The sequence below is a fragment of the Homo sapiens genome, chromosome 11, assembly GCF_000001405.40.
Source record: "Homo sapiens chromosome 11, GRCh38.p14 Primary Assembly".
In the NCBI taxonomy this organism is placed as follows: Eukaryota; Metazoa; Chordata; class Mammalia; order Primates; family Hominidae; genus Homo; species Homo sapiens.
In genome coordinates this window covers 77567248-77584770 of record NC_000011.10, presented here as the reverse complement: position 1 = coordinate 77584770, position 17523 = coordinate 77567248, and the positions used below count along the sequence as shown (strand labels likewise).

The 17523-nt window shown below is 41.5% G+C and overlaps 1 long non-coding RNA gene across 1 annotated transcript, besides 1 other annotated feature; it reads right to left on the bottom strand.

Moving 5' to 3' along the window:
- Positions 3700 to 3900: a silencer, noted in NCBI's record as "peak1361 fragment used in MPRA reporter construct". NCBI's record gives its function as "represses an SCP1 promoter by STARR-seq MPRAs in K562 erythroleukemia cells {active_cell/tissue: K562}" and the evidence as "EXISTENCE:reporter gene assay evidence [ECO:0000049][PMID:32103011]".
- Positions 9109 to 13682, bottom strand: LINC03030 (long intergenic non-protein coding RNA 3030). Its single transcript, NR_130930.1, has 3 exons — positions 13461 to 13682; positions 13086 to 13256; positions 9109 to 10560 (listed from the first exon to the last, which is right to left on the bottom strand). It is a non-coding gene; the product is annotated as a long intergenic non-protein coding RNA 3030 (long non-coding RNA).
- Between the last annotated feature and the right edge of the window lie 3841 nt (positions 13683 to 17523).

The window sequence follows — 17523 nt, the reverse complement described above, 5'->3', positions numbered from 1 at the left end:
GTGCGCACCTGTAATCCCAGATACTCGGGAGGCTGAGGCAGGAGAATTGCTTCAATCTAGGAGGCGGAGGTTGCAGTGAGCTGAGATTGCCCCACTGCACTCCAGTCTGCATGACAGAGCAAGACTCTGTCTGAAAAAAATAAAAATAAATAAATAAAAAAGAAAGCACAACTTATTCTGGACATGGCGGCTCACCCTTATAATCCCAGCGTTTGGGGAGGCCGAGGTGGGTGGATCACTTGAGGTCAGGAGTTTGAGACCAGCCTGGCCAACATGGTGAAACTTGGTCTCTACTAAAATACAAAAATTAGCTGGGCGTGGTGGCAGGTGCCTGTAATTCCAGCTGCTCAGGAGGCTAAGACAGGAAAATTGCTTTAACCCAGGAGGCAAAGGTTGCAGTGAGCTGGGATGGTGCTACTGCACTCCAGCCTGGGTGACAGAGCATGACTCTGTCTCAAAAATATCAGAAAGCACAGCTTAGTTTTCCATGACTTCAAACTAGAAAAAATGGGGAAAAAAAGAAGAAAAATTGAAAACCTTATTTTGAAGACGTGTAGCTAAAAAAAAATTAGAATTCTGTCCAAATGGTACAAAAATAATGAAAATGGAAAAACATTAGGCAAGTCTAGAATCTAACAACAGGTATACTACAGTTTTCAAAACATAATTTTTCTTTCTCCAGTTTCCCATTTTTACTAAAGTCATGGTAGGACTGATGTGCTTTATTATACTTGGCCTAATTATTTGTATAGAATGCAGCAAGAATAATTATTTTTCAAATACACTTTTAAATTGGCTTTGATGGAACTTTGTTCTATAGAAGGAATCTCAGATAAGATCTTTTTAAATTTTTTATAATTTCTTTTTTGAGATGGAGTCTCACTCTGTCCCCCAAGCTAGAGTTCGGTGGCACAATCTTGGGTCACTGCAACTTCTGCCTTCCAGGTTCAAGCTATTCTCCTGCCTCAGCCTCCCAAGTAGCTGGGATTATAGGTGCACGCCACAACGCCCGGCTAATTTTTGTGTTTTTAGTAGAGTCAGGATTTCACCATGTTGGCCAGGCTGGTCTCGAACTCCTGACCTCAAATAATCCACCCACCTCAGCCTCCCAAAGTGCTGGGATTACAGGCATGAGTTACTGCACCCGGCTAAGACCTTTATTTAAAGCCAAGCCCAGCCATGGATTTGTGCCATTAAATACCTATAAGTTGGATGATCCTCTGCTCTTGAGGTTCCAAAGTAAACTTGGGGCTCCTGGGCCTGTCAGAAAGTGACATTCTTTACTTACCACAGGTCAGGAACCCTGTACAGGGAAGGTATGAGGCCAGTTTCCCCAAGGGGCTTTATTGGCTCCATAAGTCAAGTTTGATTCCCTAAAGGAAAGCACACCATTCCAGTCAGAGCCTTGGTAAAATAACCAGTTTCTCTGTTTGTGTCCTGTTGCAAAATGAAAACAGATTCTTACTATACTTATGCAAATTACGATATTGCCATCAGTTAAGCATATTCAAAAATAATTCCCAAGTTCTGGAGAAATCAGGTAGAGAGAAACAAATATGCTCCAAATTATAGTCATAGGAGTATACTAAATTGTTAAAAGCTGTCAATAGCTCAAAAGAAAAGTTTCCTTGACTCTGAAAAAAAAACAAAGAATCAGCAACATTTAAAGCAAAAGTCAAAAAGATTACTTTAGTCTTCTATCAGTTCAGTTTATGCAATTAACTCCTGTTCTGCTTGATACTCATGAACATTTCAGCTCTCCATGAGAGTCCTGAAAGTTTCTTTTTTCCTCTATTCTAGTGTCACAACTTCCAAAGTTATCAGAAACCTGCATTTAAGAACACCTGTTAAGAGTTCTATAGCTGATTATAAAACCACCTTCTAAAGAGGGCCAAAACAAGACAACAATTGTCTGTGGATGACAAACAGTTTTAGAGCAGCCATAGTCAAAGACACAATTGACAAGGACATTTGTTACCTCTGTGGCACACAATAATTTAACATAGGAATTATAATTATTACTGATAAGGTACACTTAAGTTATATCACTAGATGTTTCTCACTATGTACACTAAGTTATAATTATAGGAGTTTCCCATAATTTTGGAACACATACCAATAACATATTTATATAAACGTAGCCCAAAGAAAACCAAACACTATATTATATGTGACAATGATTCCTGTATAATTTTTATACCAGATAAGCCAAATATGTCATTTTTGGACTTCAGGGAACCTATTAATAATACCTTAAAGGATTAATTAAATCAGAAAAAGACATAATTTATAATTTGATTTTGGAAAGTTTGTCAAATATCAAAGGTTTAAAACACTTGATATCACAAAATAGGATCACAGGTCATTGTTAAATAAGTTATTCATTTAACCAAAGTGATAATTCAGGGATTTCAAAGAAAAGGTGAAAACCTTCATTCTTTGAGAGAGGATATTTAGTTTTCCAAACAATAAGCCCTGACAAAAACAGCACAGGCTGGGTGCAGTGGCTCACACTTGTAATCCCAGCACTTTGGGAGGCCAAGGGGAGGGGTGGATTACTGGAGGTCAGGAATTCGAGACCAGCCTGACCCATATACTGAAACCCCATCTCTACTAAAAATACAAAAAATTTAATCCCAGCACTTTGGGAGGCTGAGGCAGGTGGATCACAAGGTCAGATCGAGACCATCCTGGCTAACATGGTGAAACCCCGTCTCTACTAAAAAATACAAAAAATTAGCTGGGCCTGTTGGCATGTGCCTGTAGTCCCAGCTACTTGGGAGGCTGAGGCAGGAGAATCACTTGAACCTGGGAGGCGGAGGTTGCAGTGAGCCGAGATCGGGCCATTGCACTCCAGCCTGGTGACAGAGCCAGACTCTGTCTCAAAATAACAAAACAAACAAACAAAGAAACAGAATTAGCCACGCATGGTGGTGGGTTCCTGTAATCCCAGCTACATGGGAGGCTGTGGCAGGAGAATCACTTAAACCCAGGAGGCAAAGGTTGCAGTGAGCTAAGATCACACCACTGTGCTCCAGCCTGGGTGACAGACTTTGTCTCAAAAAATAAAAAAAGAACAGCACGAAGCCAGTTAAATTTGTTTTTCAATATTGTATAAACACTCTATAACATTTTAATCTTGATTGTAAGATATAACTTCAACAAGCCTTTTATAACCTTTACTATGGAGTTAATGCTTCAAGAAAACCTTGTTAATCTGACACAGTGGCACATATTCTGGTCTTGCATCAATGTGTCTTTGACATTAATGGTTAATTTATGGATGTAATAATCAATTGAAAAATTTTAATCTCAGTTTTTTCCTAAGCAAACCAAAACTTAATAGTAATAGCATAGGAATTATTTTGATAAAATGTAAAATTTGTTAGGCTAGTTACCAAAAGGCAAAAGAAAAGATCTTCTGCAGTGTACAGAAAATTATGTTGGAAGAAAAGATTTCCTTTAGATCTTTAAGAAAATATTGTTAGCATCAGGCCACAACAAACAGAACTTGAGGGGAAAAAAAAACATATATGAGCTGAAAATGAGTTGAAGGAGAGTGTTATAATTTTGCACCTTTTAAAAGGGGAAAGAAAACTGAAAACAGCGTGATGCAATAAAAGTTGAACCTTGGGTTAAAAAAATTAAAATCTTTATAATTTATTAAGAGGTAATCAATCCCTTAAGGAAATTTTATTGTTGTAATGAATTCTTTAGTGTGTACGTTTCATTACATCACACCCAATGTCTAGAAAAACCCATTATAATTTTCCTTTAATTATAGACGACTTGATCATATAAAAGTTTTTGGTTTTTTTAGATAAATCCTTTTATTATGACTTACACAGACCATTCGTGACATGCTTGGACTTTTTGGTTTGTTCTGAACATCTTTCTTTCTTATACAACCACTCATTTTATTCTTGGTCTAAATTTACCATACAAGATTATTTTTCATACAAAATTATTTCTCATTTGGGCATAGTGGCTCATGCCTGTAATCCCAGCACTTTGGGAGGTCAAGGCTAGTAGGTCACCTCAGGTCAGGAGTTCGAGACCAGCCTGGCCAACATGGCAAAACCCCATCTCTACTTTAAATACAAAAATTAGCCGGGCATGGTGGCAGGCACCTATAATTCCAGCTACTCAGGAGGCTGAGGCAGGAGAATCACTTGAACCCTGCGAGAAGAAGGTTGGAGCAAGCCAAGATTGTGCCACTTCACTCTAGCCTGGGAGACAGAGCGAGACTTCATCTCAAAAAAAAAAACAACAATTTTAAAAATTATTTCTCTTTAAGCTTTCTTACCAAAAAATACCTCTTTCTTTCTATAATTTTGTTTACACGTCTCTTATTTCCCAGTTCCTTTTACCTTGTTTTATACATGACCTTTAAGTAAGCTTTGAATTAGACAAAAATTGTTCACCTTTTTAAAAGGGACACTTTTTTTTAGAAAGAATGTTTTCCTACAATATATTATTATTGGAAAATACCAAAATAATGAAATATCTATAATTTAATATAACTTTAGATTCTAAATTATGACTAGTTTATCTATATCCTATTACATTTATCTAATTATTTTATTTTAATCATTTACCTAGATTATTTATGAAAACTGCGATAGTCATCATTTAAAGTTATGAAACCGCCATTGCAAAATTATAACTGAGACAGTGAAAAAGATTTGCCCTAAGTGACTCCATCTTGCTTCTAAACTCCAAGCTGTCCTTGTTCATTCCTGGGTATGAGCCGAACTAACTTTGCTAGGAACTTAGTTTATAGTTTAGCTTTGAAATAAAAATGGTAACCGTCTTCCCAAAGGAAACCTCTTACTGTCTGTGGACTAGACTGCCTAACACCACAGGATTAGAAGTTATGTTAATCTGGCCGGGCATGGGCGGCCTGTAATCCCAGCACTTTCGGAGGCCGAGGCAGGTGGATCACCTGAGGTCGGGAGTTTGAGACCAGCCTGACTAACATGGAGAAACCCCATCTCTACTAAAACTACAAAATTAGCCAGGCATGGTGGCGCATGCCTGTAATACCAGCTACTTGGGAGGCTGAGGCAGGAGAATCACTTGAACATGGGAGGTGGAGGTTGTGGTGAGCCAAGATCATGCCATTGCACTCCAGCCTGGGCAACAAGAGTGAAACTCTGTCTCAAAAAAAAAAAAAAAAGTATGATAATCTTACTAAATTCAAGATGTAGCTTTTTTATTAAACCAATATCAATGTATTATTTATTAAAGATTACACCAGCAAAGATAATTCTGTCTTGGGCTGGTTTTTTAGTTTTGTAACCTCTATACCAAATTTTGACACCTTATAGTATCTGGCTGGGATAAGTATAAAATTGCTTGATAAGTAAATGCAAACGAAAATGTATTGCTGGCAAATTCTTAAGACATTTCTAATATTATTTTACCAATAATTTTAAATCCAGCTTATTTATTAAAGATTTTACTTAAGTCCTGTGAACCTGAAAAAGCATTTGACTAGTCTTGTTTTCTTTAGTATCTGATGTAAGCACTTTTGTTTTTTTAAGCCAATTAATTAGCTCTTTTATATATTTTCAGTAGTGAAATATTGTGTGCACAACACATAAATACGTAGATGTATTGGCATGCTGATAGAAGTACATCTTATAGATTCATAAAGACCTTTTTTTTTTATCTTAGACTTTCAGGTTCTTGATAACCTGTTTCACAACCCTAGGCAGTTGTCAGCTAAATAGCCTTAAATTTGCCTATTTAAGGAAACAACTCAGGTGAAAATCAAATAACAGAATTTACATCATAAGGTACAGAGAGGAAAAGTCTGGTGTGCTAGAGGGAGATTAAAGATAAATGTGAAATCAAACAAAATTATAAAAATCTATCATAGGATTGTATAAGGAGACCAATTTTATTTGCATAGGGACTACCTATCTTTTAACTGGATCTCTGAGCTCTAGGCAGAACCTATACGAAATCCTGGGTTTCCAAAAAGGGAGAATTATTATGAGGCTAGACTAAGTGATGTTTTTACACTGCACTTAAAGATAATTTTTTTTAAACAAAGACGTTTCTCAGTGTTGAATACACTCTTCCTTAAAAACCTAAGGCTAGCCTCTGTTACAAATAACTATTTTAGTCAACAAATCATGTAACACAATACAAAAGCAAGCAGTTTAAAAGCTGAGATGAACTTGTCTGTTTATACTTTTGGCACCTTCTCCACTTTCTTAAAGGAACCCCAGGCTATTATAAACTATTTCAGTTCCCTCATGCAGCAGAGGGTGCAAGAGAAAGGAGAGACAGCAGAAGTAAATGAAGAAAACAGAATTCAGTCAACTGAGAAGAAAAACCTTGCTCAAAAGAATGACAAGGTCCTAGGAGAGAAAAAAACAAACAAACAATGAAGACCTTTTAAATACAAACACACACACCCATATACACACATATCTTGGATGTTAGCTTTTAATTAAGTTGGCTTTAACAAATGAGCTCCTTTAAAAAAAGAAGTTTTTAAATCTCATTACCATATTTCAACTGGAACAAATTGGTGCTATTTCATCTGCTTTTCTTTTTTCTTTTTTTGAGATGGAGTCTTGCTCTGTTGCCCAGGCTGGAGTGCAATGGCACGATCTCAGCTCACTGCAACCTCTGCCCCTGGGTTCAAGTGATTCTCCTGCCTCAGCTTCTTGAGTAGGCAGGATTACAGGCATGTGCCACCATGCCCAGCTGATTTTTGTATTTCATTTTCATTTTCTTTTTTTTTTTTTTTTTGAGACGGAGTCTCGCTCTGTTGCCCAGGCTGGAGTGCAGTGGTGCAGTCTCAGCTCACTACAACCTCTGCCTCCTGGGTTCAAGCAATTTTCCTCCCTCAGCCTCCTGAGTAGCTGGGACTACAGGTGCACACCGCCATGTCCGGCTAATTTTTTGTATTTTAGTAGAGGCAGGGTTTCACCATGTTGCCCAGGCTGGTTGCGAACTCCTGAGCTCAGGCAATCCGTCTGCCTCGGCCTCCCAAAGTGCTAGGATTACAGGCATGAGCCACTGCTGCTGCCTTTATTTTTTTGTTTTTAATTTTTTGTTTGTTTGCTTTTGTTTTTAAAATTGCTGCTATTTCAGAAGTACAACCATTGCTCTTTCAGATTGGCCTGGCTAGCTAAAAGGTGGCCTTGTAAATAAAGCCCGTGTAGTACTCAAAATCAAAAATCTTACCTCTTTTTTCTTTTTGCTGGCAGTTTTTCTCCCCCACCATACCACCTTTTTGTGTGTGTATGGGAATTTAAGTATTTGATAGGCCTTCCCCATAATTTGGAACTTTCCTTCAGATTTGATCAAGTCTGATAGAGTTGGTCAAACCTAATGGGACAAAGACCCAAACAACAACAAAAACAGAAACAACAACAACGAAAAACAGTTAAACAAAACAAATGATCACACAACTTACATGATTACTGAACACTTTAACAGTAAGGAGAAATTATGACCATTTGGTTGTTAACTTTAGCCAAGACAAAACCTCAATTCAGCTACTTACCTAGGGATGGGTCTCAGGCTGAAGACTACTCTCTACGTCCTAGAAGCAGGAAAAAAAAAATAGTCTTTTCTGTTGGAAGCAAGCTCAAACTCCATAAAGGAATTACCTGCCTTCCATTGTCATGGAAGCAGGAAAACTTGCCTTTCTTGTTGGAAGCAAGTAAAACTCCAAAAAAAAAAAAAATAAATAAGAGGGAGTTGTACAGCAAAATAAACTTTAGATCTCAACCAAACTTTGGGAGAGCAGGGATTCTCTGGAAGGAGTGCTCCCAGGCCTCAGCAAACTATTCATAAAGTTAGCTTATGCTGATACCAAACACCAGTAAAAGATTTGTCAAAGTTCAAGTGTTCCTCCATGCAGAGTCCCTCTGTGGTTACCAAAATGTTAACCCCAGTAATTTGAGACAAGTCTTAGTTAATTTAGAAAATTTATTTTGCTAATTAACCGGGTGTGGTGGCGCAAGCCTGTAATTCCAGCTACTCAGGAGGCTGAGGCACGAGAATTGTTTGAACCTGGGAGGTGGAGGTTGCAGTGAGTCGAGACTGCATCACTGTACTCCAGCCTGGGCTACAGAGCGAGACTCTGTCTCTAAAAAATAAATAAAAATAAAAAATAAAGTTTATTTTGCCACAGTTGAGGATGTGCACCCATGGCGCAGTCTCAGGAGGTCCTGATGTCATGTGCCCAGGGTAGTCAGACCATAGCTTGGTTTTATACATTTTAGGGAGAAATGAGACATCAGTTAATATATGTAAGATGAACATTGGTTTGGTCCAGAAAGGCGGGACAGCTCAAAGCAGGGAGGGGGCTTCCAGGTCATAGGTAGAAAAGAGACAAATGGTTGCATTCTTTTGAGTTTCTGATTAGCTTCTCCAAAGGAGGCAATGAGATATGCATTTATCTCTGAGCAGAGGGGTAACTTTGAATAGAATGGGAGGCAGGTTTGCCCTAAGAAGTTCTCAGCTTGACATTTCCTTTTAGATTAGTGATTTGGGCAGGCATGGGGGAGCTCATACCTATGAATAGAGACATAAAGTAGAAGGATGGCTGTCAAGTGATGAGGGAAGGGAGGAGTGAGGAGTTAGTGTTTAATGGGTATAGAGTTTTAGTTTCACAAGATAAAAAGAGTTCTGTAGATGGATAGTGGTGATGGTTGCACAACAATATAAATGTACCTAATACCACTGAATTCTCCATTTGAAAATGGTTAAAATGGGCCCGGTGCGGTGGCTCATGCTTGTAATCTTGTGGGAAACTGAGGAATGGAGAGACCAATATGAGAGTACAGGAGGATGTTTATTTTAAGGTGTGCACCGGCTGAGTGGATTCAAATCCAAAAAGCTGAGCATTAAACAAAGACAGAGCAGGGTTTTTATAAGTGGACTTACAAAAGTAAAACAAAAGCAGTTAATCATATAGTGCATAACTTGTGGCCTTGCATAGCTGGTGGCCTTGGAGCTGTGTCAAAAGAAAATCAAGAACTGGCTAAATACAGACATTTGTAAAACATAATCATGCTTAAGAAGCCAGGGAAAGGAGTAACAGTAAAGGAATTTGTCTTCTTCTTTTTTTTTTTTTTTCCTTCAACCTTGTTCTAGAGGGGAGGGATGTCTGGAACCCATTCCTTTGGACTTGGCTTCTCAAACAACATTATCTTATAACTGTCCTTGAAGTGAGCTTGCTAGGCCGAGGAAAACTTGTTCTTTTCTTTTTAACCCTTGCCTTGCCTGTTAACTTTTCTTGGAGTGAATGAATGCATATTTATTTTTAAATTTCTGCCTCAGTTTCCCCCCTTTGATGCCTTTTATAAAAGAAATTTAATAGGAGGCATCACTATTATTTAATTTTGCATGAAGAGACAAGTTTTCTTCTTTAGACAAAGGTTGACATTTACATAGAGCCATTAGCTGACTGGTAGTTTGCCTAGCTACTATTGCCTCTATAGTTGACTGAATGTTTCTAACAAGGAGAGGTAAGAGACAAGGTAGTATTAGGCAACTTCCTAGTATGGCCAGAATCAATCTTATTAAAGTCTTGAACCCTCCGAAAAATGAAAAACAGCCTCCAAAGAGAGAATCTGGAGACCACCCTTTCTACGTTTGAACTGGAACGTGGGTTAATTTTCTTATTCTTGCAGTTATTTCCATAAATGTCTTTCCATTGTCATTGATTTCCAGGCAACAATTAGTTAGATTGAATTTTCCACATACTCCTCCTTCCTGGGCTAGGAGATAGTCTAAAGCTAATCTGTTCTGATAGATAGCATTCCTCATTTTTTGTAGCTTGCTGGGTCAGTAAATCTAATGCATTTGATGTTTATTAGTGATGATCTCAAGCCCTGCCTGTAACCTTATGATGCGCTTAAGCACGTAAGTAGGAGTACGGTAACTCCATGACCTATCTTCCACCTAGGTAGCTGGCCATTTCCTGGGTCATAAATTGAATAGGTGATCTGATTGTAAGTACAAGTTCCTAGGTGAGTCCCTGTATACTCATAATAAGTATGGTATAATAGAGTCCTGGTTATACTGTTTTCTGACCATGTAGTATGTGTACGATGGGGACACCCTTCTATGGGTGTTTCTTCTAGCATGGTTAAGTGGGGTAACAACAGTAAAACAATGTACAGTATATTCATATCTAGTAAGGACAGAAGAGGTCCTTATTTGGGAGAGGAGGTTGAGCACAGTGACAGAACAATAGTAAAACAGTTAATATTACAAGGAAAACTACTAGTTCTAAGATTTCTAACTACATTTACTTGCTTGATGAGTCCTCAAGCTTTGGCCGTGCATAGACTAGTCAGCTTTCAGTGTGTGACTAGAGCAGGGCTTGTTGTTTCCTCAAACTTCAGCCATGCGTAGGCTGGTTAGCCTCCGGAGTGACCAGAACAGGGCGGTCGTCTTCGGCAGCAGTTTGGTCCCGTCTCAGGATCAGCCGAGTTGGATGATCTGGGTCCTGCTGGCTGGTCCACTTGTCTTGAGTTGTCAGTTTCAGCCGACTGTGGTGGATCCAATGCACAACACCTGCAACTTTAACAATAGTGGGAGTGGGTAAGATTTCAGTATAGGGCCCATCTCATATGGGTCCTAGAGAAGTTGGAGTCCACTTTTTAACCCAAACAGAATCTCCTGGTTTAAAGGGGTGTTCTGGGTCTGTTAGACTTATAGGCATTCTTTTCTGTACCCAGCCATGGATCTCTTGCATGGCTATTCCTAAAGCCTGCATTTGTTATGTTTTGTTTTCTTTTTTTTTTTTTTTTTTTGAGACAGAGTCTCGCTCTGTCACCCAGGCTGGAGTGCAGTGGTGCGATCTTGGCTCACTGCAGGCTCCGCCTCCCGGGTTCATGCCATTCTCCTGCCTCAGCCTCCTGAGTAGCTGGGACTACAGGTGCCTGCCACCACGCCCGGCTAATTTTTTGTATTTTTAGTAGAGATGGGGTTTCACTGTGTTAGCCAGGATGGTCTCGATCTCCTGACCTCGTGATCCACCTGCCTCGGCCTCCTAAAGTGCTGGGATTACAGGCGTGAGCCACCACACCCAGCCACATTTGTTTCCTTAAAGTTAATTCCCCTAGTTCTCAGAGGTTTCCTTTAATTTGACTTAGGATTGGGGGAGGCTGACTGAATAAAATCTCATAGGTTGAATACTGAGTTTGTTTGGTGGGGGTGCACCTGACGTGGAAGAGGACTATAGGCAAAACCTGATTTCATTTCAGATGAGTCTTTTGGCAATATTTCTTCAGTAGCTGCTTGAGTGTGCGGTTCATGCATTTTACTTTTCCTGAACTTTGTGGCCAATAGGCTGTATGTAACTTCCATTTTATTTTTAACAGTTTTGTTAAATCTTGCATTATTTCAGCTACAAATGCCAACTTATTGCCTGACTCTAAAGTTAAAGGCAGTCTAAACCTGTGGATAATATCTCTTAACAGTACTTTAGTCACTTCTCATGCTTTTTCTGTTTTGATGGGGAAAGCTTCAACCCACCCTGAAAAGGTGCAAACAAACACTGGCATGTACTGATAGCCTCCAGCATGGGGCAGTTCGGTAAAGTCTATAAGTAAGTTTTCACCAGTAGTAGCTGAACTGAAACCGGGAGCAACTCCGGTCTGGGTTCGTCAGTACCCAGTTCCCCAAAAGGCTGTACAGGGTGTCTGCAAACATTTAGAACGGCTCTATAAATATGGGATCTTAATCCGATGCCAGTCCCCCGGAATACTCCACTTTTGCCAGTATGAAAGCCGCTGCTGGGACCAAGGTCTGATGAGTAGATACCGGTGCAAGATTTGCATGCCGTAAACCGGGCCATGGTGACCATCCATCCCGTGGCACCAAATCCATATACTTTAATGGTACTTATTCCAACAAGTGCCACTAGGTTTACAGTCTTAGACTTAAAGGACGCTTTCTTTTATATTCGCTTAGCACGAGTTAGCCCATATTTGCATTTCAATGGGACAAGGAAGCTATGCAACTCATGTGGACTAGGCTCCCACAAGGGTTCAAAAACTCTCCTACAATCTTTGGGGAAACACTGGCTTCAGACCTCAAGGCCTATACCCCGCCAAATGATAACTGTGCTTGTTACAGTACACGGGCGACCTTCTTTTGGCAGCCCCAACCCAAGAGGACTATTATCAGAGAACTCAGGACCTCCTTCATCTCCTGTGGAAAGCAGGTTACAAAGTATCTAAAAAGAAAGCCTAAATTTGCCATAAAGAGGTTAAATATCTAGGTTTCGTAGTGAGTCACGGGGAATGCTGGCTTGGCTATGAGTGAAAACAAGACGTTTGTGCACTACCAATCCCAACCACCCGATGCCAAATAAGAGAATTTTTAGGGGCAGCAGGAATTTGCCCCATCTGGATTCCAAATCTTTCCTTGATGGCTGTGCCGTTATATGAAGCCACAAAAGGAGGACAAAAAAACCCTCCTTTGGGAGACTAATCAGAAAATGCATTCCAACAAATCAAGGAAGCTTTAACTTAGGCCCTAGCCTTAGGACTACCAGATATAACTAAGCCTTTCTATATGTTCATGAACAAAAAGGAATGGCTATAGGAGTTCTGACTCAAGTTGTAAGGTCATAACATCACCCAGTAACATACTGATCCAAACAATTGGATTCTGTGATGCTAGGATGGCCTCCCTGTGTTAAGGCATTAGCCGCCACCACCTTGCTAAACACAAGAGGCTAGCAAATTGACTCTAAGACAGCAGTTAACCATTCGGGAGCCACACTCAGTCATAACTCTGATGGACCGACTCCCAGTTCCTGTGTACCTAATTGGGGTGACGAGCCACTATCACCATCTCCAGTTTCCTTAGTTGGGGTGGCAAGCCATTCTCGCCACCTCCAGTTTCCTTTTCCTAACCAACTTAGTGAGCCACTCTTGCTTCCTGTGTTGATTGGGGTGAGAGTTTCATCCAAATTGACAGCCGCTCTCATCGCCCCCAGTCCCTCTGGGTCGGACTATTAGGCATACCCCGGGAGGTGATCAGGCTCCCTTTCCGTCCTTACAGGATGGGTCCTGCCTTGGGCCCCAAAACCTTACCATGATTCCTGAAGTGCGCTGTTTCTAGAATCATCCTGTAGCTCCTCTCAGGATCTGTTGCGCTGCTGGGTAGGGGTGCTGGGTCACGGAGAGCTGATTTCCCCTCTGGGCTGAAGTTCTCCCGGCGGCACCTGGGGTCACAGGTCTCCCTTGGCCCAGGGCTCCAGCCCCCTATAGGCAAAGGAGACAGTAAGCCTGTCATCTCCACTCCTGGCTGGCTTGCCAAGAAATGTTGCAGGAAACTGAGGAATGGCGAGACCAATATGAGAGTACAGGAAGATATTTATTTTTAGGTACGCACTGGCTGAGTGGATTTATATCCAAAAACCTGAGCATTAAACAAAGACAGAGCAGGGTTTTTATAAGTGGACTTACAAAAGTAAAACAAAAGCAGTTAATCATATAGTGCATAACTTGTGGCCTTGCATAGCTGGTGGCCTTGGAGCTGTGTCAAAAGAAAATCAAGAACTGGCTAAATACAGACATTTGTAAAACATAATCATGCTTAAGAAGCCAGGGAAAGAAGTAACAGTAAAGGAATTTGTCTTTCTCTTTTTTTTTTTCCTTCAACCTTGTTCTGGAGGGGAGGGATGTCTGCAGCCCATTCCTTTGGCCTTGGCTTCTCAAACAGCATTATCTTATAACTGTCCTTGAAGTGAGCTTGCTAGGCCGAGGAAAACTTGTTCTTTTCTTTTTAACCCTTGCCTTGCCTGTTACTTTTCTTGGAGTGAATGAATGCATATTTATTTTTAAATTTCTGCCTCAATCTCAGCACTTTGGGAGGCTAAGGTGGGTGGATCACGAAGTCAGGAGATTGAGACCAGCCTGGCCAACATGGTGAAACTCTGTCTCTACTAAAAATACATAAGTTAGCCAGGCGCGGTGGCACCCTCCTGTAGTCCCAGCTACTTGGGGGGCTGAGGCAGGGGAATTGCTTGAACCTGGGAGGTGGAGGTTGCAGTGAGCCGAGACTGTGCCACTACACTCCAGCCTGGCAACAGAGGAAGACTCCGCCTCAAAAAAAAAAAAAAGAAAAGAAAATGGTTAAAATGGAAATTGTTATGTTTATTTTACCACAGTTTTTTTTTTTTTTTTAAAGAAATGAGCTATCAAGCAAAGCAAAGACATGGATAAATGTTGAATGTATATCAGTAAGTCAAAGAAGCAAGTCTGATGGCTTTTTACTATATAATTCTTTTTTTTTTTTTTTTTTTGAGACGGAGTCTGGCTCTGTTGCCAGGCTGGAGTGCAGTGGCATGATCTCGGCTCACTGCAACCTCCACCTCCTGGGTTCGAGCGGTTCTCCTGCCTCAGGCTCCCGAGTAGCTGGGACTACAGGGGCCTGCCACCATGCCTGGCTAACTTTTGTATTTTTAGCAGAGACGGCGTTTCACCATGTTAGCCAGTATTGTCTCGATCTCTTGACCTCGTGATCCACCCGCCTCAGCCTCCGAAAGTGCTAGTATTGCAGGTGTGAGCCACCGTGCCTGGCCGTGATTCTACTTATATACATTATGAAAGGTAAAACTACAGAGATGAAAAACAAGTTGGTAGGAATTCAGTAAGGAGGATTGAATAGGTAAATCACAGGACATTTTAGGATGGTGACATTATTTTGTGTAATACCATAATGATAGTGACATGATACATGACACCTTGCATTTGTCAGAACCCTTAGAACCTAAAGTATGCAAATTTAAAAAAATCATTTAGGAGCTCAGATAGATGATCCCAAGATGAAATAAAGAACGTGACAAAATAATCTAACTGTATTATGAACAAAACTCAATGAAGGAAATGGGAGAAAATTGCTGACCTAAGTAACTTTGGAAATGGGTGGATCCTGTAAAACTCAATGCAAAAGGAGTACAGACTAGGGAGCAATATGGCCAAGTAGAGGCCTCCAGAAATTGTCCTCCCTGCAGGAACACCAAATCGAACAACTATTCACACAAAAAACACCTTCATTACAACCAAAAATCAGGTGAGTAATCATAGTACCTGGTTTTAACATCACATTAAGGAAAGAGGCACTGAAGAGGGCAGGAAAAATAGTCTCAAATTGTCTACAGCACCCTTCTCTGATCGCCTAGCTGTGGCTGCATAGCACAGAGAGTCTGTGCACTTGTGGGAGGGAGAGTGCAGTGATTATGGGACTTTGCATTAGAGCTCAGTGCTGCCCTGTCACAGCAGAAAACAACACAAGGCAGAACTCAGCTGGAGGCCAAGGAGGGAGCATTTGCATCAGCCCTAGCCAGAGGCATATTACCCATCCCAGTGGTCAGAACTTGACCTCTGGCAAGCCACCACCATTTGGTAAAGGGCTCTGGGGTCCTAAGTAAACTTGAAAGGCAGTCTAGGCCCTAAGGATTGCAATTGCTGGGCAAGTCCTGGTGCTGTGCTGGGCTTGGAGCCAGGGTACTCGTACTCAGGTACATGTAACATGTACATGGAGCCAGGGAGGCCAAGGCAGTGCTTGCATCATCCCTCTCCCAACCTCAGGCAGTGCAGTTCACAGCTCTGGGAGAGACTCCTTCCCTCTACCTGAGGAGAGAAGGGAGAGTAAAGAGGACTTTGTCTTGCAGCTTGGATACCTGCTCAGCCACAGCAGGATAGGGCACCAGACAGAGTCCTGAGGACCCCATTCCAGGGTCTAGCCATCACATGACATTTCAAGACACACCCTGGGCCAGAAGGGAACCAACTGCCTTAAAGGGAAGGAATAATCAGCGGTGGTAACCAGGCATTATTCCTCCTGGGCCTTGGGTAAAACTCAGAGCTGTGTTGCCTTTAGATGTGACCCAGCACATTCCTAGCTGTGGTGGCTACTTGAAGAAAGAAGACGGAGGAGTAAAGGGCATTTTGTCTTATAGCTTGGGTACCAGCTCAGCCACAGTGGGATAGAGCACCAAGCAGGCTCTTGGTGTCCCCAGTTCCAGGTCTTGGCTCATGGATGGCATTTCTGGACCTGCCCTGGGCCAGAGGGGAGTCCTTTTCCCTGAAGGGTGAGTCCCGGGCCTCACAGCATTCACCGCAAGCTGATTGAAGAGCCCTTGGACGTTGAGTGAACATTGGTGGTAGCCTGGCAGTACTTGCCACGGGCTCAGGGCAGCAGTAGCCATGAAGAGAGACTCCTGTTTGTGGAAAGGGGAGGGAAGAGGGGGAAGGACTTTGTTTTGTGGCTTGGATGCCAGCTCAGCAGCAGTAGATAAGATTTCTAAGGTTCCTGGCTCCAGACTCTGGCTCCCAGTGGCATCTTTGGACACACCCAGGGCCAGGGGGACCTTACCACCCTAAAAGGAAGGACACAAGCCTGCTGTATTTGCCACCTGCTGATTGTAGATCTCTTGGGTCTTGAGTGAACCTAAGTGGTAGTCAAGCAACGGTCACTGTGGACCTTGGGTGAAACCCAGTGCTATGTTTGTTTCAGGTCTGACCCAGGACAGTCCCAGTGGTGGTGACCACAGGGGAACTTATGTCACCCCTCTCCCAGCTCCAGGAAGTTCAGTACAGAGAGAGAGAGACTTCATTTGTGGGGGAAAGTAAAGGATGAGAACAAGAGTCTCTACCTGGTAATCCAGGGAATTCTCCTAAATCTTACCCAAGACCACTAAGGCACTACTTCTGAGTCTGCAAGAGCCACAACATTACTGGACTTGGGGTTTCCCCTAGTGCAGATACGGCTGCAGTGATAAAAAACTTAAATCACAGCATCCAAGTCCCTTCGAATGGCTGGAAATCCTTCCCAAGAAGGACAGGTACAAACAAGCCCAGACTGTGAAGACTATAATAAATACCTAATTCTTCAATGCCCAGACACCGATGAACATCCACAAGCATCAAGACCATCCTGGAAAACATGACCTCACCGAATGATCTAAATAAAGCACCAGCCACCAGTCCCGGCTGTCTCTTAGCAAAACTGATCAAGCAGAAGAAAGAATTAGTGAGTTTCAAGACAGGCTGTTTGAAAATACACAGCCAGAGGAGACAAAAAAGAATTAAGAAGAAGGAAGCATGACTGCAAGATCTAGAAAATAGCCTCAAAGGGGGAAATCTAAGAGTTATTGGCCTTATAGATCTGGGTAGAAAGTTTATATAAAGAGGTAACAGATAGTTTTCCAAACCTAGAAAAGGATATCAATATTTAAGTACAAGAAGGTTGTAGAACACCAAGCAGATTTAGCCCAAATAAAAGTACCTTGAGACACTTAATAACCAAACTCCCAAAGGTCAAGGGTAAAGAAAGGACCCTAAAAGCAGCAAGGGGAAAAGAAACAAATTACATACAATGGAGCTCTAATATGCCCAGGAGCAGACTTTTCAGTGGAAATCTTAAAGGCCAGGAGAGAGTGGTGGGACAAATTTACAGTGCTGAAGGAAAAAAACTTTAATACTAGAATAGTATATCCAGTGAAAATATCCTTCAAACATAAAG